The 26,551-nt window shown below is 42.7% G+C and overlaps 1 protein-coding gene across 2 annotated transcripts, besides 4 other annotated features; it reads left to right on the forward strand.

Annotated features, from left to right (window-relative positions):
• Nucleotides 10,398–10,447: a silencer, noted in NCBI's record as "silent region_5609". NCBI's record gives its function as "represses an Ori minimal core promoter by ATAC-STARR-seq in GM12878 lymphoblastoid cells {active_cell/tissue: GM12878}" and the evidence as "EXISTENCE:reporter gene assay evidence [ECO:0000049][PMID:35858748]".
• Nucleotides 10,534–11,474: an enhancer, noted in NCBI's record as "NANOG-H3K27ac hESC enhancer chr14:23938675-23939615 (GRCh37/hg19 assembly coordinates)". NCBI's record gives its function as "activates a minimal SCP1, AML or CMV promoter by ChIP-STARR-seq in primed H9 embryonic stem cells {active_cell/tissue: H9 hESC(primed)}" and the evidence as "EXISTENCE:reporter gene assay evidence [ECO:0000049][PMID:30033119]".
• On the forward strand, nt 10,771–19,894 carry NGDN (neuroguidin). Of its 2 annotated transcripts, NM_001042635.2 has the most exons (11): nt 10,771–10,795; nt 11,110–11,169; nt 11,974–12,045; nt 16,239–16,376; nt 16,626–16,710; nt 16,794–16,846; nt 17,097–17,220; nt 17,307–17,475; nt 18,268–18,424; nt 18,571–18,628; nt 19,075–19,241. In NM_001042635.2, exons 1-11 carry the CDS (start codon nt 10,784–10,786, stop codon nt 19,092–19,094), a joined length of 948 nt encoding a protein of 315 aa, NP_001036100.1. In that variant the 5' UTR covers nt 10,771–10,783; the 3' UTR covers nt 19,095–19,241. The 2 variants fall into 2 exon arrangements, with proteins under 2 accessions (NP_001036100.1, NP_056329.1); NM_015514.2 differs by having other exon boundaries at nt 18,571–19,894.
• Nucleotides 23,139–23,896: an enhancer, noted in NCBI's record as "NANOG-H3K27ac-H3K4me1 hESC enhancer chr14:23951280-23952037 (GRCh37/hg19 assembly coordinates)". NCBI's record gives its function as "activates a minimal SCP1, AML or CMV promoter by ChIP-STARR-seq in primed H9 embryonic stem cells {active_cell/tissue: H9 hESC(primed)}" and the evidence as "EXISTENCE:reporter gene assay evidence [ECO:0000049][PMID:30033119]".
• Nucleotides 23,897–24,653: an enhancer, noted in NCBI's record as "H3K27ac-H3K4me1 hESC enhancer chr14:23952038-23952794 (GRCh37/hg19 assembly coordinates)". NCBI's record gives its function as "activates a minimal SCP1, AML or CMV promoter by ChIP-STARR-seq in primed H9 embryonic stem cells {active_cell/tissue: H9 hESC(primed)}" and the evidence as "EXISTENCE:reporter gene assay evidence [ECO:0000049][PMID:30033119]".

A 26,551-nucleotide genomic window follows, 5' to 3' on the forward strand; every position in this document is an offset into this window, starting at 1 on the left:
TCAAGACACCTCTAACAAAGTCAAAATTCAAATGATTCAGGCCGGAAGTGGTGGCTCACGCCTGTAATCCCAGCACTTTGGGAGGCCGAGGCGGGCTGATCAAATGAGGTCAGGAGTTCAAGACCAGCCTGGCCAACATGACAAAACCCTGTCTCTACTAAAAATAAAAAAAATTAGCCAGGAGTTGTGGTGTATGCCTGTAATCCCAGCTACTCGGGAGGCTGAGGCATGAGAATTGATTAAACCCGGAGGCAGAGGTTGCAGTGAGCCAAGATCATACCACTGCACTCCAGCCTGGGTGACAGAGTAAGACTCTGTTTCAAAAAAAAAAAAAATTCAAATGATTCAAAATTTCAAAAATTGCAAGTACTTTTCTTTAGCTTTAGATGAATTATGCAGTATGAGATACTGCCCAATTAATACTTTTGGCTTTTTGTTTTGTTTTGTTTTATTGGTCTCAAAAGACTTCTAAATTTACAAAGAAATATGTGGCTCCCCCCCAAATTAAACTCATGGCATAGAATAATTTTGCTAGATATAAAAAGTGTGGTTTATATCAAAATGGATGGCGCTCCAGCCATGTTAGGTTAAAAGTTCAAATGTATTGGAATTTTAAAACAAGAGACTGGTGTTTCCATTATTGTTTTATCATACCACATGATACATATTTAAAATATTCGTGTTCAACTTTCTGAAACAGACTGTATGAAAAATTCATGGATATGGTTGTTAAAAATTTCTCAGCACTTCCCAACTCATGTTTATGAGGCCAATATTACCCTGACATCAAAACTAGACAAAGACATCACAAGAAAAGAAAAATACAGAGCAATATTTCTTATGAATATAGATGTAAAGGTTCTTAACAAAATATAAGCAAATTGCATCCATCAGCACATAAAAAGGATTATATACCATGACCAACTAGGATTTACACCAGGAATGTAAGGCTAGCTTAACATTTGAAAGTCAATTAATGTAACACACAGTAGCAACAGAATCAAGAACAAAAATCACATGATCATCTCAATAGACATAGAAAAAGCATTTGGCAAAATACAACACCTTTTCAGGATAAAAACACTTAACAAACTAGGAATAGAAGGAAACTTCCTCAGCCTGATAAAGGGCATTTATTGAAACTCCACAGTTAACATAATACTTAATAGTGAAAGACTTAATGTTTTCCCCATAAGATCAGGAGTAGGAAGCCTAGGATGTCCACTCTTGCCACTTCTATTCAACATTGTATTGGAGTCAGGGCAATTAGCCAAGGCAATGAGATCAAAGGCATCCAGAATGGAAAGAAGGAAGTAAAATTCTACTTGCAGATGACATGATTTTATATATAGAAAATTCTAAGGAATCCACTAAAACACAATTAGAATAATAAATGAGTTCAGCTAGGCCAGGCGCGGTGGCTCATGCCTAGAATCCCAGCACTTTGGGAGGCCAAGGCGGGCGGATCACCTGAGGTCAGGAGTTCAAGATCAGCCTGGCCAACATGGTGAAACCCTGTCTCTACTAAAAATATAAAAACTAGCCGGGCGTGGTGGTGGACGCCTGTAATCCCAGCTACTCGGGAGGCTGAGGCAGGAGAATTGCTTGAACCCAGGAGACGGAGGTTGCAGTGAGCCGACACAGTGCCACTGCACTCCAGCCTCGGCGACAGAGTGAGACTTTGTCTCAAAACAAAACAAAACAGAACAAAAAAAAAACCATAAATGAGTTCAGCAGAGTTGCAGGGCACAAGATTAATATACAAAAATCAATTGGATTTCTACATACTGGCAATGAACAATCAAGAAATAAAATTAAAACACAGTTCCATTTACAATAGGATCTGCAAGAACTGAATAATGGCCATCCCAAAATACCAAGTCCTAATCTCTAGAACCTGGAAATGTTACCTTATAAGAACAAAGGGTCTTTACAAATGTGATAAAATCAAGGAGGTTACCTTAGGGAGATTATTCTGGATTATCCAAGTGGGCCCTAAATCCAATCACAAGTGTCCTTATAAAACAGAGGCAGAGGAGATTTGACAACACAGAAGAGTAGGCAATGTGACCAAGGAGGCAGAGACTGGAGTGACATGGCCACAAGTCAAGGAATGCTGTCAGCCATCAGCTTGAAAGGGTCAAAAAACAAGTTCTCCTCTAGAGCCTCCAGAGGGAGTGTGGCCCTGTTGACACCTTGATTTCAGACAAATTCAACTGATTTTGAACCTTTAGCCTCCTGGATGATGACATAATAAATTCCTGTTGTTTTAAGCCACCAAGTTTATGGTAATTTGTAAATGCAGTCATAGGAACATAATATGACATGAAAAATAATTTTGAAAACAGCAATAAATTTAGCAGAAGAAATGCAAAACTTATACCCTAAAACCTACAAAATATTGTTGAAAGAAATTAAAGAAGACCTAAACAAATGGAAAGATGTCTCATATTCATAGATCTGAAGGCTTAATGTAATTAACATGGAAGTACTCTCCAAGTGGATCTACAGATTCACTGCAATCCCTATCAAAATTCCAGTTGTCCTTTTTGGACAAAAATTGACAAGCTGATCGTAAAATTCATATGGAAATGCAAGGGACCCAGAATAGCCAAATAATATTGAAAAATAACAAAATTGTTAGGCTGGGTATTGTGGTTCACGCCTGTAATCCCAGCACTTTGGGAGGCTGAGGCAGGTGGATCGCTTGAGGCCAGGAGTTCAAGACCAGCCTGGTCAAAATGGCAAAGCTCTGTCTCTATTAAAAAAACTAATAACAAAATTGGAGGACTTACATTTCCTAATTTCAAAACTTATTACAAATATACAGTAATCAAGATAGTGTGGTACTGGCATCAAGACAGACATACAGATTAATGGAATAGAATTGAGAGTCCAGAAATACACATGTACATTTATAGCCAATTGATTTTTTTTTTTTTTTTGAGACAGGGTCTCACTCTGTTGCCTACTCTGAAGTGCAGTGGCACAATCTTGGCTCATTGCAATCTCCATTTCCTGGATTCAAGCTATTCTCCTGCCTCAGCCTCCTGAATAGCTTAGACTACAGGTGTGTGCCACCACACATGGCTAATTTTTGTATTTTATTTTTTTGGTAGAGACAGGGTTTCATCATGTTGCTCAGGCTGGTCTTGAAATCCTGACCTCAAGTGATCTGCCCGCTTTGGCCTCTCAGAATGCTGGGATTATAGGTGTGAGCCACTGCACCCGGCCATTTATGCCCAGTTGATTTTTAACAAGGGTCCCGAGACCCTTGAGGAAATGATCAACAAGGAAAGAATAGTCTTCTCAAAAAATGTTGCTGGAACAACTGAATATTCACATGCAAAGGAATGAGGGCAGACCCCTACTTCACACCACACACAAAAATTGACTTTTTTTTTATTATTATACTTTAAGTTTTAGGGTACATGTGCACAATGTGCAGGTTAGTTACATATGTATACATGTGACATGCTGGTGTGCTGCACCTATTAACTCGTCATTTAGCTTTAGGTATATCTCCTAATGCTATCCCTGCCCCCTCCCCCCACCCCACAACAGTCCCCAGAGCGTGATGTTCCCCTTCCTGTGTCCATGTGTTCTCATTGTTCAATTCCCATCTATGAGTGAGAACACGCGGTGTTTGGTTTTTTGTCCTTGCGGTAGTTTACTGAGAATGATGATTTCCAATTTCATCCATGTCCCTACAAAGGACATGAACTCATCATTTTTTTATGGCTGCATAGTATTCCATGGCGTATATGTGCCACATTTTCTTAATCCAGTCTATCATTGTTGGACATTTGGGTTGGTTCCAAGTCTTTGCTATTGTGAATAGTGCCGCAATAAACATACGTGTGCATGTGTCTTTATAGCAGCATGATTTATAGTCCTTTGGGTATATACCCAGTAATGGGATGGCTGGGTCAAATGGTACTTCTAGTTCTAGATCCCTGAGGAATCGCCACACCGACTTCCACAATGGTTGAACTAGTTTACAGTCCCACCAACAGTGTAAAAGTAAAGTGGATCTTACATTAGGTCTTCGATCCATTTTGAGTCAATTTTTGAACTCTTAGGAGAAAACATAAGTGTAAATCTTCATGAACTTGTTGCCTAAGCAACAATTTCTTAGATATGATACCTAAAACACAAGCAACACTCCGCCCCCACCCCCCAAAAAAAGGTAAATTGGACTTCATAAAAATTAAAATCTTGGCCAGGCATGGTGGCTAACACCTGTAATCCCAGCACTTTGGGAGGCCGAGGCAGGAGGATTCCTTGAACCAAGAGTTTGAGACTAGGCTGGGCAACATGGCAAAAATCTGTCTCTGTGAAAAAAAAAAAAACCCACAAAAATTAGTTGGGCGTGGTGGTACATACCTGTAGTCTCAGCTATGGGGGGTGAGGCTGCAGGATCACTTGAGGCAGGGAGGTCAAGGATGTGGTGAGCTGAAATCATGCTGGTGCACTCCAGCCCAGGTGACAGCGCGAGACACTGTCTCAAAAAAAAAAAAAAAAAAAGGCCAAGCATCGTGGCTCACACCTGTAATCATAGCACTTTGGGAGGCTGAGACAGGTGGATTGCTTGAGGTCAGGAGTTCAAGACCAGCCTGGCCAACATGGTGAAACCCCGTCTCTACTAAAAGTACAAAAAATTAGCCAGGCATGGTGGTGCATGCCTGCAATCCCAGTTACTTGGGAAGCTGAGGCAGGAGAATCACTTGAATCCGGGAGGTGGAGGTTGCAGTGAGCCAAGATCGTGCCACTGTACTCCAGCCTGAGTGACAGAGCGAGACTCCATCTCAAAAAGCAAAACAAAACAAAACAAAACAAACTTAAACAATTTTGTCCTCCAAATAATACCACTAAGCAAGTGAAAAGACAAAATAAAGTGGGAGAAAATATTTGCAAATCATGTATCTAATAAGGGGTTTGTGTCTAGAATATGGAAAGAACTCTTACGACCAATAATAAAAAGACAACTCAATTTAAAAATGATCTGAACAGACAGTTCTTTTTTTTTCTTTTTGAGACGGAGTCTTGCTCTGTCACCCAGGCTGGCGTGCATTGGCGCAATCTCGGCTCACTGCCATCTCTGCCTCCTGGGTTGGGTTCAAGCAATTCTTCTGCCTCAGCCTCCCAATAGCTGGGACTACAGGCATGTGCCACCACACCCAGCTAATGTTTGTATTTTTAGCAGAAATGGGGTTTCACCATATTAGCCGGGCTGGTCTTGAACTCCTGACCTCGTGATCCGCTCGCCTCGGCCTCCCAAAGTGCCGGGATTACAGGCGTGAGCCACCATGCCCAGCCGACAGTTCTTCAAAGATACTCACGTGGCCCATGAGCACATGAAAAGATGTCCAACATCGTAAGACATTAGGGAAATGCAAATCAAAACCTCAATAAGACACTGGAGTAACTCACTAGAGTAACTATAATTAAGATTATAGATTATAGCAGATGTTGGCAAGGATGTGGAAAAATTGGAACTGTTTTATTGCTGGTGGAAATGTAAAATAGTGCAGCCCTTTGGAAAACAGTCTGGCAGTTCCTCAAATGGTTAAACATAGAGTTACTGTATGACCCAGCAACTCTACTCCTAGATGTAAACCCAAAAGAATCGAAAACATATGTTCCCATAGGAATTTGGCTACAAATGTTTATAGCAGCACTACTTAGCCAGAACGTGGAAACAACCCAAATGCCCATCAACTGATGAATGGATAAATAAAATGAAGTATATCTATACCATGAAATATTAGTCAGCAGTAAAAAGGAATAAAGTAGTGATATACACTACAATATGGATAAACCTTGACAACATTATGCTAAGTGAAAGCAGCCAGTCACAAAAGACTACACATTACATAATTCCACATTAAGGATATGTTCAGAATAGACAAAGCTACAGGGATACAAAGTTGATTAGTGGTTGTCTAGAGCTGAGGGTTAGAGGGTTGGGAAAAAAAGGGGAAGTGACTACTAATGGATACTGGGTTTTTTTTGGAACATTGTAAAAATGTTCTAAAATTGTTATGGTTATATTTGCACAACTCTGTGAATATACTAAAAGCCACTGAATTCTATGATTTTTTAAATCAAAACAATTTTTTTTTTTTTTTGTAGAGATGGGTTTCACTATGCTCCCCAGGCTGGTCTCAAACTCCAGGCCTCAAGTGATCCTCCTGCCTCAGCCTCCCAAAGTGCTGGGATTACAGGTGCAAGCCACCATGCCCAACCCCACTGAACTGTATCCTTTAAATAGTGAATTGTATGATATGTATATTAAATCTCAATATAGCTGTTAAAAACTTTTCTCAGTATATACTTGAAATATTATGGACGATTGCCAGTTTATGAAACTGTTGAAAGAAATAGAAGACAATAAATTTAATGATCTTGTATTCTTTGCCAATGCTTGTTGGTTGAGTGGTAGAAGAGCTTTACAAAGATTTATTGTACTGTTAGCTCCAAGATTCTCTTGTAACAAAAGGAATGATTGTGTCAGGGCTCAGAAAACGATACTCCAGAGTATGGCACTTTGGCATGCTAAGCACTTTGAACTAAAGGAGATTGGAAGGCCTTAGAAGCAGCCTCAGAAGCAAAGTCTTTCTCTGACCTTCTCCTGCCCTCTTGTCTGCTGCCCTTCCTTCTGCTGCAAGGCAAGCCATAGAAACTAGAATTCTGGCTGGGCGTGGTGGCTCACACCTGTAACCCCAGCACTTTGGAAGGCTGAGGTGGGCAGATCACTTGAGGCCAGGAGTTTGAGACCAGCCTGGCCAATGTGACGAAACCCCATCTCTACTAAAAATACAAGAATTAGCCGGGCATCGTGGCAGAGGCTGCAGTGGGCAGAGATCGTGCCATTGCACTCCAGTCACTCCAGCCTCAGCAACAGAGCGAGAATCTGTCTAAAAAACAAAAAACAAAGGCCGGGCGTGGTGGCTCATGCCTGTAATCCCAGTACTTTGGGAGGCCAAGGCCGGTGGATCACAAGGTCAAGAGTTCGAGACCAGCCTGGCCAATGTGGTGAAACCCCGACTCTACCAAAAATACAAAAAAAAATTAGCGAGGCGTGGTGGCGCATGCCTGTAATCCCAGCTACTCAGGAGGCCGAGGCAGAAGAATTGCTTGAACCCAGGAGGTGGAGGTTGCAGTGAGCTGAAATCGCGCCACTGACTCCAGCCTGGCAACAGAGCAAGACACCGTCTCAAAAAAAAAAAAAAAAAGAAAAAAAAAATTAGAATTCGTCTTCCCTAATGCAGGTTTTAAAAACTGGAACCCCAGGGCTGGGTGTGGTGGCTTATGCCTGTAATCCCAGCACTTTGGGAGGCCGAGGTGGGTGGATCACGAGGTCAGGAGTTCGAGACCAACCTGGCCAATACGGTGAAACCCTATCTCTACTAAAAATACAAAAATTAGCTGGGCGTGGTGGCATATGCCTGTAATCCCAGCTACTTGGGAGGCTGAGGCAGAAGAATCGCTTGAACCCAGGAGGCAGAGGTTACAGTGAGCTGAGATCGCGCCACTGCACTCCACCCTGGGTGACAGAGCGAGACTCCGTCTCAAAAAAAACAAAAACAAAAACAAAACAACAAAAAAACTGGAAGCTCTGTCCCCCAAACCAGCCATAAAACCTAAAAATTTTACTCTAAATTTCTCTCACCTTTCTGCTAGGAGCTAGCCGTAAAAAATATTCTCTGACTTCCTCATTTGATGGTCAGTCATAAATCCTCATTTTGGAGGGGTCCTCCCTGTAAACCAGAAAGTATCTGAAACAGGTCTCAATCAATTTAGCAGTTTATTTTGCCAAGATTAAGGACGTGTCTGGGAGTGAGGCTTGTGCCTTTCTCCAAAGATGACTTTCAGGGCTTCACTATTAAAAGGGGAAAAGTAGGCTGGAGGAGAAAGAGGGAGGGTACATTAATCCACATGTTGCAAGAGAAAAGGAGCAGGTAGGGGAATAGTCAATTGGTATTTGTCTCAGGCTCAGTAAATCGGCACACAAGATAAGGTGAACACACAGTAAATACTTGTAGAGATATTTAACATTTTATCTGTAGCTATCCGCTTAGGAACAATAGCAAAGGCAGTTGCTTGCATGACTCCGTTGAGCTTAATTTTTTTCTTTTGGCATAGTGAACTGGGGTCCCAAGTTATTTTCCTTTCGCATTCCCTATACCCCAAAGGATTGCTATCTAGAGAGGCTAAGAAAAATCTGAACAGACAGGCCTTGCTGGGATTCCCCCCTCAGTCTAGTTCTGTCAGATCATACTCTTTTTGTCCTATCACATTTCTACACGCTGTCCATTCTTCATCAAACCTAACCATAAAAATGGAATCTTCATTTCTGAAGGCTCCCGTGTCATGTAAAACTTTCAATAAATTCATCAAACTTTTTTCTTGTTAACTTCTTTTGTTATAGGAGTGTCTTCTATGACCCTTATGATGGGTGAGGAAAGGTATCACACTTTTCTGCCCCTATAGTTGACAAGTATTTTATTTTTTTAGAGATGGGGTCTCCCTCTTTCACCTTTTTTTTAGAGATAGGGTCTTGCTCCGTCACCCAGGCTGGAGTGCAGTGGCACGATCATGGCTCACTGCTGCCTTGACATGGGCTCAAGTGATTCTCCTGCCTCAGCCTCCAGAGTAGCTGGGACTACAGGTTCAAGTCACCGTTCCTGGTGGACAATTATTTTAATAATCAAGGCCGGGAGCAGTGGCTCATGCCTGTAATCCCAGCACTTTGGGAGGCCGAGGCAGGTGGATAGTGAGGTCAGGAGTTTGAGACCAGCCTGGCCAACCATGGTTTAGTAGAAACCCCGTCTCTACTAAAAATACAAAAAATGAGCTGGATATGGTGGCGGGTGCCTGTAATCCCAGCTACTCAGGAGGCTGAGGCAGGAGAATCGCTTGAACAGGGAGGCAGAGGTTGCAGTGAGCCAAGATCGCGGCACTGCACTCCAGCTTGGGCAACAGTATGAGACTCCGCTCAAAAAAAAAAAAAAAAAAAAAGGCCGGGCGCGGTGGCTTACGCCTGTAATCCCAGCACTTTGGGAGGCTGAGGCGGGTGGATCATGAGGTCAGGAGATCGAGACCATCCTAGCTAACATGGTGAAACCCTGTCTCTACTAAAAAAAAAAAAAAAAAAAAAAAAATCAGCCGGGCGTGGTGGCAAGTGCCTGTAGTCCCAGCTACTCGGGAGGGCGAGACAGGAGAATCGCTTGAACCCGGGAGGCGGAGGTTGCAGTGAGCCGAGATCGCGCCACTGCACTCCAGCTTGGGCAACAGAGCGAGACTCGGTCTCAAAAAAACCCAAAATATGGCAGTGCAATTTGTTTTCTCATTGCTATCATAAAGCATATGAACAAACTAAATTTCAAATTCCCCGAAAAGGAAAAGTTTATTGCTGATCTAATTAGACAGGTCCGAAAATTTATGTAGAAATAGAAACTTTTCATAATACAAATCTTGATAAAACATTACAAAAGCTACTGGATAATTGACTAAGTATGCTGCAACAGCATCCTGAGCTTCCACAGTGGGCCTGAAGCAGCAAATTAAATGTTAGAGGAGTGGGGACTGAACACCCTCCTGCCTTCTTGAATCCAGCAAGATCTAGATACCAGGATTTCCTTACCTCACCTGCCCAGATACAGGTGTTATTCTTAATTCCAAAAGACAGCTTCAAGTCGGTAAGATCTGATTTCTAGACCCAGCTCTGTTGGACGAGTTGTGAACAAAAAATTATACACTATCATTCACCCTTTCGGTGCTTTATTTCCTAAGGCATGGGATGGGAACAATGAGTATCCGTCCAACCTACTTCACCAGCTTGTGAAAAACCAGAGTGAGAGAACACATCTGAAAGCACTGGGTAATGATGAGGCAGGTTATACTGAAACATGCACTGCCAGAGTTTGAACCAAGTTCTGCTGAAGACCTGTGTGACCGCGGTAAGTCATGTAAATATGAACCGTTCCCCAATTTGTAAAACGTATTCTTTTCATGTCCCCAAACTGGTAGGAGCGAAGAGTGTCGGGGCGTTATTGGAGCCGTTTCTCAGCGCTCCACAGTGCACACCAAGAGGGCAGGTGTCCTCGCACTCGGTTTCTAAACTCTGGCTCTGGGCTTCTCTAGCCTCGCTCTCTTATTTACAGATGAAGAAGGCTCAGAGACCGAGTGACTTGTCCACGGTCACACAAGGAGTAGTGTTACAGAATCGATTCCAGGGCCACCGGGTCTGTAAGGCATTTGGCGCGGTGGCCGTTGGATGAGCAGCCAGCAATGGCGGCTCTGCAATGTCGACACCGCAAAGCCAAGCCAAGGCCCATCACCTAGCGGCCGGTTCACGCACTACAAGAAAAGTGCCGTGAAAAAAGACTCTGGGTGCTGCGGCAGACGGGAGCCAATACGCGCTAAGTTCGCTCTGCTAATTCCTTTTTTCTATTGGTCCTTCCAACTGTCAATCAATTATTTGACTGTCTCTTATTGGCTTGCCGTCAATCATTTTACTCAGTCTACCAATCACACGCTCTTTGCCAAGTGCTTTTTTTCGTCCTGACGACTCTTTCTGAGTCTGACGAATTTAGCCAGTTCCTTTATTCCATTGGCCAGATCAGACTCCTCCTCTCGTTTATCCTGTTGGGGGCGGAAGTGAGAAAGCCCTTATTCGTATTGGCTTAGATTTGCAAGCGGCAGTTGTCTATCAAATCTATCAAGTCGCCCTTAGCGCTCAGGAAGTACGACACCGGAAGGGGTGGGCTTTGCGAAGATGGCGGCGCTGGTGAGTTTGGTGTGGTTTCTTCCTCGCGTAGCTATTGTGGAGTTGTCCTTTGCCTTCAGCGGCTGGAGGCAAACTGTTGGTACCAGGGAAGGGTGGTGATGAAAGTTGCTTCAGGGAGGCGGCCTCCCTAGAGTTACCGTTCCTGTCCGGTAACCCAAGGGGCTGGCTTTAAGGCGAGTCTGTGAACCCGAGTGTGAAGGCCCCGAGTCTGGGTGTCTGACGGAGAGAGGGCAGTTTCCCACCCTAGACGTTCCACTTTCCTATAATCCTGAGGAAAGAATGACTTTTCTTTACGCCTCCTCTCCCTTCTGTAGGGGGTGCTGGAGTCCGACCTGCCAAGTGCCGTGACACTTCTGAAAAATCTCCAGGAGCAAGTGAGTAGTGTCGCCTCTGGAATAAATTAGTCACGGATTGGCTTTGAGTTTGTGTACTTCACCTCAAAACTTTGGTGATTGAGATACGTGAATGCTTCCAAAAACCTTAGAGTAAAATGATGTAATCAAAACCTTTTCACGCCAGAATTCTAAGTAATTGATTCTGCACCCAAGGGAATACAAGAAACTCCAAAAAGAAATTATATGAATAGTTTTCCTTTATTCATATAGCTAAGGAAACCAGTGCTTGGAATGGTAACATGACTTGCCCTTTGGGTGCCCAGGTAATACACACTTATATACAGATGCTTCTCGACTTAACGATGGAGGTTATGGCCTGATAAACCCATTGTAATTCGAAAACCTCATAAGTCGAAATTTAGGCTTGATGCCGCTGCCCAGCATCACGAGAAAAGGACGGTTTCTACCGAATGCATATTTCTTTTACACCCTCGTAAAGTGGAAATTAAGTCATAAGTCGGGGAGTTATGTAGTTCTATGCATTGTAAGTTCAACTAGTACAAACAAAATTACAGTGCTTCAGTCACTACTCTCTCAGTCCTTTTCTCCTCCCTGTGGTTCAGTAAAAGATGGTCTCTTCTTTAAGAAGTGGAAAGTTTTTTTTTTTTTAAACTTTTTGAAGAACCATCTCTCCTATGCTTTCCGAGAAGTGAGAAGATAGTACTATACTTTAGACAGTGTTTCAGATAATTTTTAGGTGGCATTGTTTAGCTTTTGCTCTTCACAGTTTGCAGACATAATTTGATATAATCTAATCACTTGTTTTATTTGGGCTAATTTCAGGTGATGGCTGTAACTGCACAAGTGAAATCACTGACACAAAAAGTTCAAGCTGGTGCCTATCCTACAGAAAAGGTAAGATGTACTCAAACAGTAAGCATCCCCTGACTTAATGTTCTCAGTAGTTCTTTCATTGTATGTTTATTGTGTCTTATATATCCTAAGTGCTCGAGCTTCAAACATAAATATGATCCAGTTTCTGTGCTGAAGTCTAGAGGGAAGACAAAGCAAAGCAATAGATGTAAGTATTAATAGTAGCAGTCACATTACAGAGTTATGAGTCTCCAGCCAAAGAGAGGGATTAATTAACTGCCAGAAGAGCAGAGGGATTCAGGACAGGCTTCCCAGAGGAGGTGATAGGATTTTGAGGAATAAATGGGAGGGACAGAAAGAAGGAACATGTGCAAAGGCACAAAGGCCTGAAAGTATGGTGATAAGGGAAAGGAGTAAGTCATTTTTGTGATAGGATGTACTTTCTGTGTTATGTGTGTTGGGGGTAGGAAATAAGACTGGAAAAGTCACTCTGAAGATTACTGTAGGCCAACTGAGGAGTTACTTTCAGATTTCATCTAATCTAAGACACTTATTAATTGGGACATATCACTTATTGTATATATTAAGAAAAAATGTGACAGGCCGGGCATGGTGGCTCATGCCTGTAATTCCAGCACTTCAGGAGGCTGAGGCTGGAGGATCGCTTGAGCTCAGGAGTTCGGGACCAACCTGGGTAACATAGTGAGACCCTACAAAAGTTAAAAATTAGCCGGGCATGATGGCATGTGCCTGTAGTCCTAGCCACTCAGGAGGCTGAGGCCAGAGGATTGCTTAAGCCTGGGAGGTTGAGGCTGCAGTAAGCTGTGATTGTGCCACTGCATTCAGCCTGGGTGACAGAGCAAGACCCTGTCTCAAAAAAAAAAAAAAAATTGCTTATGACATAATACCAAGATGCCAGTGACTGAAACATGCATCCTGATTTCAGAGATGTTAAAATATGAAAACCATGTGCATCTTAAAATTGAAATATGCGCCTGTAATCCCAACACTTTGGGAGGCCAGAGTGGGAGGATTGCTTGAGCCCATGGGTTTGAGACCAGCCTGGGCAATGTGGTGAGACCTATCTCTATAAAAAAAAATTAGCTGGGCGCAGTGGTGTGTGCCTGTAGTCCCAGCTACTCAGGAGGCTGAGGTGAATGGATCGGTTGAGCCCAGGAGGTCGAGGCTGCCATGAGCCACGGTCGCACCATCGCACTGCAGCCTGGGCAACAGAGTGAGACTGTCTTAAAAAAAAAAAAAAAAAAAAAAGGCCAGGCTAAGAAGAAAAGGTGGCTCACACCTATAATTCCAGCACTTTGGGAGATTGTGGCGGATGGATCACCTGAGGTCAGGAGTTCGAGACCAGCCTGGTCAACATGGCAAAACCCCATCTTTACTAAAAATACAAAAATTAGCCGGGCATGGTGGCGTGTGCCTGTCTGTAATCCCGGTTACTCGGGAGGCTGAGGCAGGAGAATTGTTTGAACTCAGGAGGCAGAGGTTGCAGTGAGCCGTGATCATGCCACTGTGCTGCAGCCTGGGCAGCAGAGCAAGACTCCATCTGAAAAAAACAAAACAACAACAATTAAAATATTGTAGTTTTCAAATGAAGGTCTGGTAGAACCTTCTCAGGGATTACTGGTTGGGGGCAATGTGGAAGAACAACTCTGGATCTCTCATCCCTACTTAACTGGAAAACTCTGGTATTATCTGTTTTTATATATTGAGCTTTTGTCCTAAGATATTTAGGCCAAATATTCTATGGGTAAATACAAGTATGAAAATCATTGTAATAAGAGTCACTGAAGGAGTTTTAAGCACAGGAGTTACAGCAGATTTGTGCTTACAGAAAGATAACTAAAAACAGCATTCAAAATATATTCCCTTCTTGTCTTTATCATTCACTTATGTTCTTATTGTCCATTTTTATTTAAAAAAAATTTAAATCTTTGTTTTTCTCTCATATGCTTGTAGCTCAGTTTGAATTTGACAATGCCCAAGCACGTCGGAAGAGCCTGCTTCTCAAATTCTTACCTGTTTTTGTCCTGGGTACCATGCTTTTTTGTTTTGTTTTGTTTCGTTGAGATGGAGTCTCCCTCTGTCGCCCCGGCTGGAGTGCAGTGGCACGATCCTGGCTCACTGCGGCCTCTGCCTCCTGGGTTCAAGTGATTCTCCTGCCTCAGCCTTCCGAGTAGCTGGGATTACAGGCGCCCGCCACCACTCCTGGCTAATTTTGTATTTTTAGTAAAGACGAGGTTTTACCATGTTAGCCAGGCTGGTCTCGAACTCCTGACCTCAGGTGATCCACCCACCTCGGCATCCCAAAGTGCTGGGATTACAGGTGTGAGCCACCACACCAGGCCTTGGGTACCATGCCTTGAACCATTTCAGTGCCTTTTGGAGATGGATGAGTTGCCAGCATCCTTCTTAGATCCCTATATATTTGTTTATTTATTGAACAAATACATATTAACTTATCTTTTTGACCAAAGACTTTTACTAGGTGCTTTATAGGTTACAAAGTTCTTTCACATTATCTTATTTGGGCCTCATAATTATTCTTTGTGGCAGGGAGGAAATGTACATATTTTACTGATAAGACTGAGGTTGGCCTGGTGCAGTGGGTCACGGCTGTAATCCCAGTGCTTTGGGAGGCTGAGGCAGGTGGATCACGAGGTCAGGAGTTCGAGACCAGCCTGGCCAACATGGCGAAACCCCGTCTCTTAAATCTTAAACAAAGATTTAAATTTTTTTTAAATAAAAATGGACAGTAAGAACATAAGTGAATGATAAAGACAAGAAGGGAATATATTTTGAATGCTGTTTTTAGTTATCTTTCTGTAAGCACAAATCTGCTATAACTCCTGTGCTTAAAACTCCTTCAGTGACTCTTATTAACAATGATTTTCATACTTGTATTTACCCATAGAATATTTGGCTTAAATACAAAAAATTAGCCGGGCGTGGTGGGAGGCACCTGTAGTCCCAGCTACTTGGGATGCTGAGGCAGAAGAATCACTTGAACCCAGGAGGTGGAGGTTGCAGTGAGCCGAGACAGTGCCACTGCACTCCAGCCTGGGCGACAGAGTGAGACTCCATCTCAAAAAAAAAAAAAAAAAAAAGACTGAGGTCACAAGGTTAAGTGACTTACTCAATATTTGACTACCAAACACCTAATTCAGAACTTAAACTCAGTTTGTGGACTCTAAATCCTTTGCTCTCCTTCTATACCACAGTAGTGTTGATCTCAAGAGCTTAGCATGTTGGCTTAAAGACATCCAGGGATGAGGTGTTGGAGTCAGATTGAGTTTGAATCTTAGCTCTACTTGTATTACTGTGTTATCTTGGCCAAGTATTTAACCTCTCTGAAATAGGTTTTCTCAGGGCTGTGAAGTTTGGAAGATACATAAAAGCCCAAAGAAAAAAATGAAAAATCAGTATAATCACCACTCTGAGATAACCACTGTGGTAATATTTTTGAGATTTTTAAAATTATAAGAATAATATATGCAACACTTTTTCACACTCTAAAGTACACCATTTCTTCCTTTTCCTCATCTCACCCTAGGGGTAGCAGTTACTTGTGTGTTGTCTTGTAGACATTTTTCTATGTGTATAAAATGTATTCATCATATCCCCCCCTACACACACACACTTTCACAATTGAAGTCATATTACACTTTCTACAACTTGTGGTGACATGGATTTAATTCGATGTCATTATATATAAATCATTGTTTTTACCTGTATCATATAATTCCATTGTATGGGGGGAAATTGGTAATTACTTTGATTAAATTAATTTAAAACTTGGCAGTCTGTGGAGACATTTTTGATTGTTAGAGCTTGGAGGGGCCATCCGTGGGAAGAGGCCAAGGATGCTGCTGGAAACCTACAATGCCCAGGACAGCCCTCAACAAAAAATGTTCTGGCTTCAAATGTCAATAGCTCTGAGATTGAGAAACCCTGTTATAGTCTTTTTTGGGGGGGTAGTTTATTGATTTTCCTCTTCTCATTGTCTTCTATTAATTTTCTGAGCGTTGTTTCTCTTGTATTAGCATAACTTTCTCATTGGCCTTCTTAGGCATAGCTACTTCTTGAGACTATTCCAGATACCTAATATGAACTGATTGGGAAAATCTTGAACTTGGAAAAACATCCCGTTTACCCTAGGCTTTCATCTGGTTCTTTGGCTAAAACCAAATCTGTTTTTCTTTCTGTTTTGTTCAACTCAGGGTCTCAGCTTCTTGGAAGTGAAAGACCAGCTGCTGCTCATGTACCTTATGGATTTGACCCACCTCATTCTGGACAAAGCCTCAGGAGGATCTCTTCAGGGACATGATGCAGTTTTGAGACTGGTGGAGATTCGCACGGTATGAAGCATTTGGCTTCTTGGAGTTTTAGGTTTCTAAATTTTGAGCTCCAAGGGTATCACACAGTAGCTCTCATTTAAGTGAGTCTTCTCATGTTTAAGGAAACCAAATGAGAAAAGGTATTTTTCTATTCATTTGCTCTACTTTGTACATATTTTAGGTGCCTTATGTGGCACCTTAATATAGGGACTCTGGTGTGTGCTTCATTTTGGGAAGGAAATATAATCCTGATTAACTACCATGTTGTAGGTTTTGGAAAAGCTTCGTCCCTTGGACCAAAAGCTGAAGTATCAAATTGACAAGCTGATCAAGACTGCAGTGACAGGCAGCCTTAGTAAGTGAGGAGACCATCATGAAGTTGTGGGGACCATCAGAAAGTTCCAAATTTTGTAAAATTCATTGGGTTATTTATTTCAGGTGAGAATGACCCACTTCGTTTTAAGCCTCATCCCAGCAATATGATGAGCAAGGTAAGGGGTTGTAGTATTCTCCTGATTTTTTTCTGAGGCAGCTATACCTAGATGAGCCTCTTGGTGATCCTGGATACCCTGGGATTCTCTTAGGACTTGATTTTCCAACTTGTGTGTTAGAATGCTGAGTTTGAGATTCCCTTTTTTCCCTTTTTATATTCCCACCACCCCAGGGTACTCCAGCTTTGGGTTTTCTTCTCACTTATCTCATGAATGCTTCCTAAATTTGCAGACATTGTTTCTTTTGTAGTTGAGCTCTGAGGATGAGGAGGAAGATGAAGCAGAAGATGACCAGTCTGAGGCTTCAGGGAAGAAATCTGTGAAGGGAGTGTCTAAGAAATATGTTCCTCCACGCTTGGTTCCAGTACATTATGGTATAAACTTTGGCTGCTGCCTCCTCAGCATGAACTGTTTCTCTTTTCTCTGTTCTTGGATAACCCTGCTTATTTTCATCATGTAGATGAAACAGAAGCTGAGCGGGAGAAGAAGCGTCTAGAACGAGCCAAGAGACGGGCATTGAGCAGCTCTGTCATTCGTGAACTTAAGGAGCAGTACTCAGATGCTCCAGAGGAAATCCGTGATGCTCGGCATCCCCATGTTACCCGCCAGAGTCAGGAGGACCAACACAGGTCTGAGCCCTTGCATTAGAAATTATTCCTGCACTCTAGAGTCCTGTCCTCATGCTTTATACTAATGTGACTAAGTTTGGTACCAAGAGAATTAATGTTACATAGAAAATGGAGTGAAAACTTTGGGATGATAGTTTCTAAGAATCAGGAGTTTGGAGTTCAGGATAGAAACTAGGAAAATTTTTACCCCAACTGTTTAGTTCAAAGCAAAAGCAGTACATTGCAATTCGACATGAGATTTGAGGGGGAAAAAAGCAGTACAAAGAGGAATGTATGCAGTTCCACATAGTACAACTTTAAGATTCTGTGTTTCACTGTCACAGCTCTCACTTTTGTGCAGAAGGCAATAAAGGTAGGTTTTTATAGTGACATTGTGAGTGCTAGATAAGTTCAGGGAAGGAAAGTAGAAAAGCAGTGTAATTGAATACAGACTCGTCAACTTTGCTCAGGTGCAGTCTTTGCAGTTGATGGATTTGCATGAAAGGACACGTTTAGGGAAACCTGCTTATAGAGCTGAAATAAAAAAATTTTGGTGTAATATTTTAAATAATATTGTGGATAGGCTATGGATTCATATCTAGCATGAGGGAAGTTCTAGCACAGAGCACATTTCATTGAGGAAGCTCAGTATTGAGCATTCAATATGTCCTTACTAAATACTATGTTGATCTGCTGTGAAACTTCTTGAGAACTCCCTGAACAAGAGATGAGTAGATACTTGGGCCCAGGTTGTGGGCTGGAGCTTTCCATCTCCATGGTCTGAGCCTGCTGGAAACTGTCTTTCTCTGGCAGGATTAACTATGAGGAGAGCATGATGGTGCGTTTGAGCGTCAGTAAGCGAGAGAAAGGACGGCGAAAACGAGCAAATGTCATGAGCTCACAACTTCATTCCCTTACACACTTCAGTGACATCAGTGCTTTGACAGGGGGAACTGTTCATCTTGATGAGGTGAGGTTGAGATATGGTTGTAGTAGGATGTGACTTTCATGCTTTCAGCAAAATGTATGTGGGGCTTATTACCATGAGGAACTTGGGAAGGGATGCTGGCTCTCAGAACCACAGTGCCATTCCATCACTTCTCCATCTGTCTCCAGGATCAGAATCCTATTAAGAAGCGGAAGAAGATACCTCAGAAAGGTCGGAAGAAAAAAGGTCAGTGAACTGCTGGGACTTAGGTGATCAGGTGCAAGGTGGGGAGTACAAATTGAGTCTCTTTGGATTTGCCATTCTGGGTCTCACCAAGCCCTGTAGTATCTCTTCCATACTGGGCAATAATCTCCTTAGGTGGGCTTTTATTTTTTGCTTTCCTGAGCTGGAAATCAGCATCATTCACAAAATGAATCTCTGGATTCTGCCTCTAAGGTCCCACAGCTCCTGTTCAGGCTTCCCTAAATAGAACTGGTAAAGTGTCACTTGAAGGAACCATTATCCCATTTCAATTTTATTCCTACTTCTCGTCTTTTGTCCTGGGAAGATATTCAGGGTACTGCCTAGGAGACCCCACCCCTGTGAGCCCTTCCCTCTAGATGTCCTGTTTTCCTGTCCCTTTAGCTTTTCCAACTGTCCTTTGCCTCATTCTTGGTTTCCCTTCCTTTCAGGTTTTCGGAGGCGGCGGTGATTATGGGTGTACATATTTGTATATTTTTTGTCATCCTGAGATACTTCTAATTTCATTGTATATAGGTGGTTTTCCCTGGAATTCATTAATTGTTTGCTTTGGACATGTGGAAAGAGCCTTACTAATAAAATTGATTTTGCTTATGAATTAAAGCCCCTTTTTGCACATGTATTGTACGACTGGAGTCGTTGGGTTTGGGATATTTTTGGTGAGTGGTTGGTGAAAAGGGAAATTTTTTTTGGAAGTGCAAAACATTTGTATTGTTTTCTTTGATAATATATTTTTCCCAAAAACTAAAAATTGGTTACGTCACAAAAAGTATTGAGAGACGAGGCTGGTATAATCAACTCTTTCAACCCATGTTGCCACAACTTCCTGTATGATTTGTTATAATACAATACAGATTGAGATATTAACACATGAATTTTAGGTTTTATTAGTGTTATCTGGGCTGGCCACCAGGTGGCATAAGTGGTTCAAGAAACTTGAGCTTGGCTGTAATCAAAAGCAAGATAGAACCTTTCCACATCAGCAAGATTATTCTTATCTCCACTTCTCTGAATGTTTTTCATTTCTTTCTGAAATAGCATGAACATAAGGCTGATCTTTGGTCAGTTACTGAGGGAGTTTGTAGAAAATAGTAGAGTGAGTAAGAAGGCTAGAGTGAAGAGTCAGTATAGTCTTGTGTTTTTCAGACTCTGACCCCCACCCCCCCGCCTTCAACTGAGGGTCATTTTACCAGAGTCAATAAAGGCCAACCCTTCTATAAAGAGCTGGCAAAAAAAAAAAAAAAAAAAAAATGCCAGCAGACAAGCAGAACATTCCTAGCTTAACAGCCAAACAAATGAAAATCCCACAGAAATAATTAGCCAAACTCAAGCCAGGAGACTGGTGGGCGTTATACATCTGAGATCTTGTATTCTAATGAGAGAATAACCTCTGTTGGTGAGATGTCCCACAGGCCTTGGATAATACAGAAAGTGAAAAAAGGGATTAAAAAAAGATAGAAGTTGGGTCTGTAGAATTAATTCATTGGAGTTTTTAAAAAAGGCTTTGGGTCTCATGAACATCTGATTTTAATGTCTAGTATTGCTGGGTTATATCGATAGACAAATTAATTTGGGTTATATGACTAAAACCTCGTTGATTCTGAATTTCTGAATTTGGATTTATACTATTCAGCCTGATTGGGGCAGGGGTCTTTCACTCAGCTGCCGCTTGGTAGAAAGTAGTTAGGAGACTGGACCTATGGCTGTCTTAGGCTAATTCTGTGATCTTGGGCAAATCACTTAATATCCCTGGCCTTTAATTTTCCTCAGCTAAGGAATGTATTAGACTTCATCTGTGAGATTCCCTTCAAGTCAAAGAGCCTAGAGCTTTTGTGCATGACACCAAGATGGGCTTATGTCTGGGGCCGCTAACCTTTAGTCCCTGATAGATCTGAGAGAGTCTCACATGCCCTGGGCTCTCATACTTCTGTTTCCTCAAGGGAATCTAAACAAAGAGCCACAAGAACAGATTTAGAGACTTTTTTTCCTTTATGGCTGAACTAACTAGATGAGTGATTCAGTTCAAAAATACTTTAGTTAAAACCACTTCATTTGCTTGTTAGGACCACTATATTTGTTTCTAATTTATTAAGATTTGTGGATTATGGGAACTTCCAGGGGAAGGGAAGTGCTCTTTAAAAAACAAAACAAAACAAAACAAAACAAAACAGGTACTACCTTCTGGCCAGGTGTGGTGGCTCATATCTATAATCTGGACACTTTGGGAGGCTGGGTCAGGAGGATAGTTTGAGGCCAGAGAGTTCAAGACCAGCATGTTTAACACAACAAGACCCTGTCTCTAAAAAAAAATAAAAATAAAAAAATTAGGCAGGTGTGGTGGCGTGTGTCTGTAGTCCCAGCTGCTTGGGAGACTGAGGCAGGGGTATTGCCTAAGCCCTGGAGTTTGAGCTTGCTGTGAGCTATGATCTTACCACTGCATTCCAGACTGAATGATAGTAAGACCCATCAAAAAAAAAAAAAAAATTCCTGTGCTATAGGCTGAGCTAAGTGCTTTATACTTAATCCTTATAAATTTTTTTTTTTTTTTTTGAGATGGAGTCTCACTCTGTTGCCCAGGCTGGAGTGCAGTGGCGTGATCTCCGCTGACTGCAACCTCTGCCTCCTGGGTTCAAGCGATTCTCCTGTCTCAGCCTCCTGAGTAGCTGGGACTATAGCCACGTGCCACCACACCTGGCTAATTTTTTGTATTTTAGTGGAGACAGGGTTTCACTGTGTTAGCCGGGATAGTCTCAATCTCCTGACCTCGTGATCCACCCACCTTGGCCTCCCAAAGTGCTGGGATTACAGGTATGAGCCACCACGCCTGGCAATCCTTATAAAATTTATGAAATCTCCATTTTACTAGTGAGGAAGCTTAGACACTTAGGGCAAACAATTTTTCCTGAGTTGGAGAACCAGTGCTTGGGGAACACTGAGGATGGAGGACTTCAAGTGTCCTGTGGTTCATGAAAATCTTCAGGGTTAAAAAATCTTTTTTTATTTGTAGGTGGTTTATAATCTAGCTCCCCCGCCCTACTGCCCCATTTCTGTTACAGGCCTCGTCTTCAAAGAAACCCTAAGTTCCACAATTCTGGTCTCTTTGTGGTATACCAGTGAACACAGCAGACAAAATCCCTGCCTTTGTGGACCTTATATTAATTCAATCAAGTCTTTAATCCCAGGACATTTTGTTTTCCCTGGCTTTTAGGCATTATTTGAAAGAAGTTTCTGGTAAAAAGTTGAACTATTTCTGAGAATATTTGTACCAGAGTCATCAAACACTGTTTAGAGTGTATTGTTTGATGGAGTATTACATGGATTCTCAATATGTAAAACAAGCATAAGTGGGGTTACTTTGATTGAAGTGGGAATGAGGGGTCCTGAAGTTCCATGTTCTTATGACCCCCTTTCCCCAAGATTCCTGAGGAGCCCCCAAGGAACCTTTAGAATTCCTTAGAATATAGTTTGAAAACAACTGTTAGGGTAGTAGAACAAGGGAACTAAGAACTAGAATTTTAGGATTTCGTTATGGCTGTTCTGGTCACTTTTTTTCTTTCCCTTATTCCTACTAATAGATTCAGTTATCTGATTATTCAGACCATATGAATATCGGATTTCCTCAGTGTATTGCTGACAACAGATCATTTCTGGTGTTCACTAAGTAATAGCTGTCATTAATGCACACATGAGCACCTTACCTGTTTGGTTTTATCATGTGATGGTTTTGTCATGTGATAGCTTTATTCTGTAGAAGTAATTTACATCTCTGCCTCATTCTTTTCATCTTAGGGGACAGGGAAGAGAGTTTGACCAAGGTCTGTCTTTGCCTTAAAATCATTGTTTTGTTAGGATTTTATGAAGGCTTGGGGAAATGTCTATTGGGAATTCACAACAGTCTTCATAGATACCTTATTAGGAAAACTGTGTTTTGTTTGCAGGGGAGATTATTAGTGTGTCAATTTTCAGCACCATGGAGAGTTCAAACGCTCCTCATTCCTTGGTTTGGTGAATGGGACACAGCTAAACCATAGAGCTGCGTGGTGTAGACCTGCCCTTTTTCAGAGCCCAGTTTGTCCAGTCTCCAGTTCTGATTGGTACAGATTGGATGAGAGTCAAACACACCCCTGAGTGTCCCCCATCCTCCCTGGAATCTTTTAGGTCCATAAATCCCAGATTCATGCCAAGGATTTGGCTAACTTGATGGAGGTATGTGAGTGGAATCCTGCCTCCTGCTCCATTGGTAACATCATTTATCATTTATATTATGATACATGAAATTTTTACCAGCCCTTAAGAAAAACTCTGTTCCCTACTCATCTTTGCTTAGAGAACCTTGAGGGGACTTAAAGTTGCTTTTTCATTCCTTGGGCCTCGTTTTCTGCCTCTGCATGAGGAAAGGCATCAATGCTCTGGCTCTCTGCCCAGTCTTGCTTTTGTGTTTCTTTGATCTCATTGTTCAGAGGGTCTCAGAGAAGCCCCCAGAGCCATGCCTTTGCATGTTTAAGCTATTGATGCTTTTGAGATGACAGAGCGTCGCTGTGTAAGAAGTGTATTAAAGGTCTATCGTGAACAAACTTGGGTCAATAGGTGGCAGTAGTCACTGAGTCCTGAGGCCCTGACACCCCCTAAACACAAACACATTTGATGGCCATTATATTTAAGGAAGGATGTGAGAAAGGAGGTCACATTGAGATTAAAACGGGGAGAAAAGCAATCCTTTTTGGTGGAATCCAGGAAATGCTGAAATGTGCTGGATTACATCTGTGGGAGTGTTGTGTGGGGTGTAGGGGAAGATTGCTGTCAGCTAGTGAAGGGCACTGATTGGAAACAGCAGAGCCTCAGGATTGGGGGAACAGATTCATTCATCTAAGATGTAGGTGCTAAGGTTTCTTCCAGCTAGAGTAAGCATGTGTTAAATGAGGACCAGCACTGAAAGGACAGAGTGGGGTTGGAGTGAGTAGAGATACAAGTAGGGGAAGGAGGGGCAGAACTGTGTGACGGGACCGTGGAAAGGGTGGGCTGTGAAGGGGAGGACTGCGGTTAGAGGGGGAGGGGGAGGCTGCTGCAATACTGAGCCTATCTAATGGGGGAGGGGAGGGGGAGATATTGGTGTGTGCTGCAGCTGCATTACTTCCCCTCCCCCACACTTCCCAAGAAGCCAGAGCAGTGCTGGCAAATCTGTCTTCATGTATTTATTATTATTAAAAATGTGACAGATCCTTCCTCCCTGGAAGCACAACAAATACTACTGATCACATTTCTCTCTCCCCTCCCTCTGCAGAGCTTTTGCATTCTCTCTTTCATTCCACCCTGTCCTCCCCCACTTGGTCTGTTTGGTGGGGGGAACCCTTCCCTTCTTTCCTTCTTAGACCTTGGTGGCTCCCTGGGGGTTTCTAATGGTGGTTGGGAGTTTTGAGGCAGTGCTGGGAGGAAGCAGCTGAGTGAGGGGCATTCATGGCCCCAGGGAGGCAGCTGTATTCTCTTATATCCAGTGGGGAGAGGAAATCACTTGGAAATAAAGATAAAAATCCTTTCTCCAGGTAATGAAATAAGCAGGTGCTCACATTCCTTTCAGTACCTGGTGTTCCTCCCTCTTCATATTCTTCTCTTTTCTACTGCCTGAATTCTGAAGGGGAAACCCCCTTGTAATGGAAAAAGCCAGGAGTTCTCTGTCTTCCCTCCCTTACCTTAAGTCCCTCTCTTCCCAGGAAAGCCATATACTATTTATTCTTCTAGCCTGCATGTTGTGTAACCAAGAGATTTGAATGGCAAAAGCCATGGCTTCTTCCTCCCCACCTGCACCCCAGACTCCCATGCCTAGGCGGGAACCTCTTTTGTTGCAGCCTGTAGCCCTTCACCATACCCATAGGTGGTGCTGCTGTTGCTCTGCAGGCAGGGCCCTCCCGGCCAACATCATTCCTCCCCACCCTGTCGCCCTCCCCCTTTCCCCAGCCCTCTACTGCCTGATTGTTATTCCACCAACGTCTCCTCTACTGTTCCCTTCCTCAAATTAATTTTGTGGCGCTCTTTTTTCCGCAGTGCCATCTTCTTCCCCTCCCCCAGCTCCGGCTCTCTTGCTTTCTGTCTCTCTCTTTCTCTGTCTGCAGGATCTCCATCTCACTTCCCTACCTGAAATCTACACTCTTCCCTACTCCCTTTTTCGTTATCTGTTCTACCCCTGACATCTTACAGATGACTCTCCCAATGAAAGGGGGCTGTAGATGAGGGTGGCTTAGAAGAGAACAGGGTGAGGAGAACTGAGGGGTCAGTACCGAAGAGTAGGTGGGAGAATGACGAGGCTCTACAGGGGAAACATGATGGGAGACAGAAGATATCCTTTGCTGTCTGCATCTATTCAGTTCCTGGATTTGGATAAGGAGAGTTCACTTGGCAAGCGATCGATCCTGTGTTATCTGAATCTACAGATTTGGGTTCTACATGCTGGGAAAATGGGAGCTAGGGAATAGCAAGAATTCAGATAATAATGGCTCATCCAGAAACTTTTGGATTAGATTGCTAAGGATACCTCTACTTTCGTTATCCTGTGTTTTGAAGACTGGAGGAGATGTCCTGTTACTGATCTTTTGTGTCCTCAGAAGGTTCTTTCCAGGACAGTTGTGACACTTATGTGATGGACATCCTGGCTCTCTGGTCACTGCTGAGCACAATTCTGGCTGCAGGACCTTGGCTCACTCTTGTAGTCTGCCTCCTTTTTTTGTCATTCCATGTTGTTCCTTTATCACAGCTGAATTTACCTGGTTGCCCCATTCAGCCCACAGTGCCCTGTATTGCTTAGCCTTTCCAGAATATGCCCAAACTCTTTAGACTGTTAGCTCTTGCCTCATCTCGCTTCTTAACTTTATTTTGGAGACCTTTCATTGTGAGACCAGTACCCCACAACCAGCTAATTCAGCAGTGTTTTTTATTGTAAAGTTATCCAATTTCTAGGATGGCTAATTTTTCTCTTATTGGATTATTCTTTATGAATTAGTAGCATCCAGTTACTCCCTGGATGGTAGTGCTGAGTCTGACTTCTGTATATACTAGGAATAGGCCACAATATGGACCTCTTTCCTTGATTCCCTGGTGGGAGGAGATCTTCCTTAGCTTAAGTGGCAGTCCTAGAATGGCTGGCTTCCATTTCCTCAGCATGTGTAAGTCAAGACTGACTCCTGGACTATGGGGAGAGGCAGAGTTTGCCAGAGCCACAGTGAAAAGCAGGGACTAGAACACCAACCCCTCACCTTACTGTCTGGGCCATGGAAGTGCCTGTGGAGCCCTGTCTTCTTGCCTACCTCTCCTGCCTTCCTAAGGTGCATACATGAGTTGGTGGAGGCAGAGGCTGGTGGCCTCTTCATTTCCTCAGCTGATTTTCCTGTTTCCTTTCTTAGAGATCTTTCTTGCTGTATTCAGGGGACTGTAGTTAGGGTCATGGTTTCATGTAATGTAGACAGTGATCTCTGTTTAGGTCCCTCTTTTAAAAAGCAAGATCCAATAAATATTTGTTGCAGTGAATGGTAGAGACTTAGCTGCTTTAGCATCCTTTGGGAGAGCAGTAAATTGAGTTTTAACTATTTTTCTTTGTAGATACTTACATTGCTGTAGCTAAAATTGTTTGATTTTTGTTTTCTTTTGCTTACAGGCCCTATGGGGGAAATGATTTATCTAAGCCTATTCAAATAAGTCATTAGCAGAGCTGGTATTAGAATTTGTTTTCTCTCACATCCAGGTCTGACTTTTCCTTTACTACCCCTTAGAAACCAATGTCTCCAATTCATCCCCAGAGCCACTGGCAGCCTTGAAGGCAGCAACGTGGCCAGGTTTTGTGTCAAAAGCTGGCCTTGGTTGGCCTGATGCTGAGACAGCATCAGCAGCAAGACAGCCAGGGCATGTGGGCTTGGCTGGCTG

This window comes from Homo sapiens, chromosome 14 (genome assembly GCF_000001405.40).
Source record: "Homo sapiens chromosome 14, GRCh38.p14 Primary Assembly".
Taxonomy (NCBI): domain Eukaryota; kingdom Metazoa; phylum Chordata; class Mammalia; order Primates; family Hominidae; genus Homo; species Homo sapiens.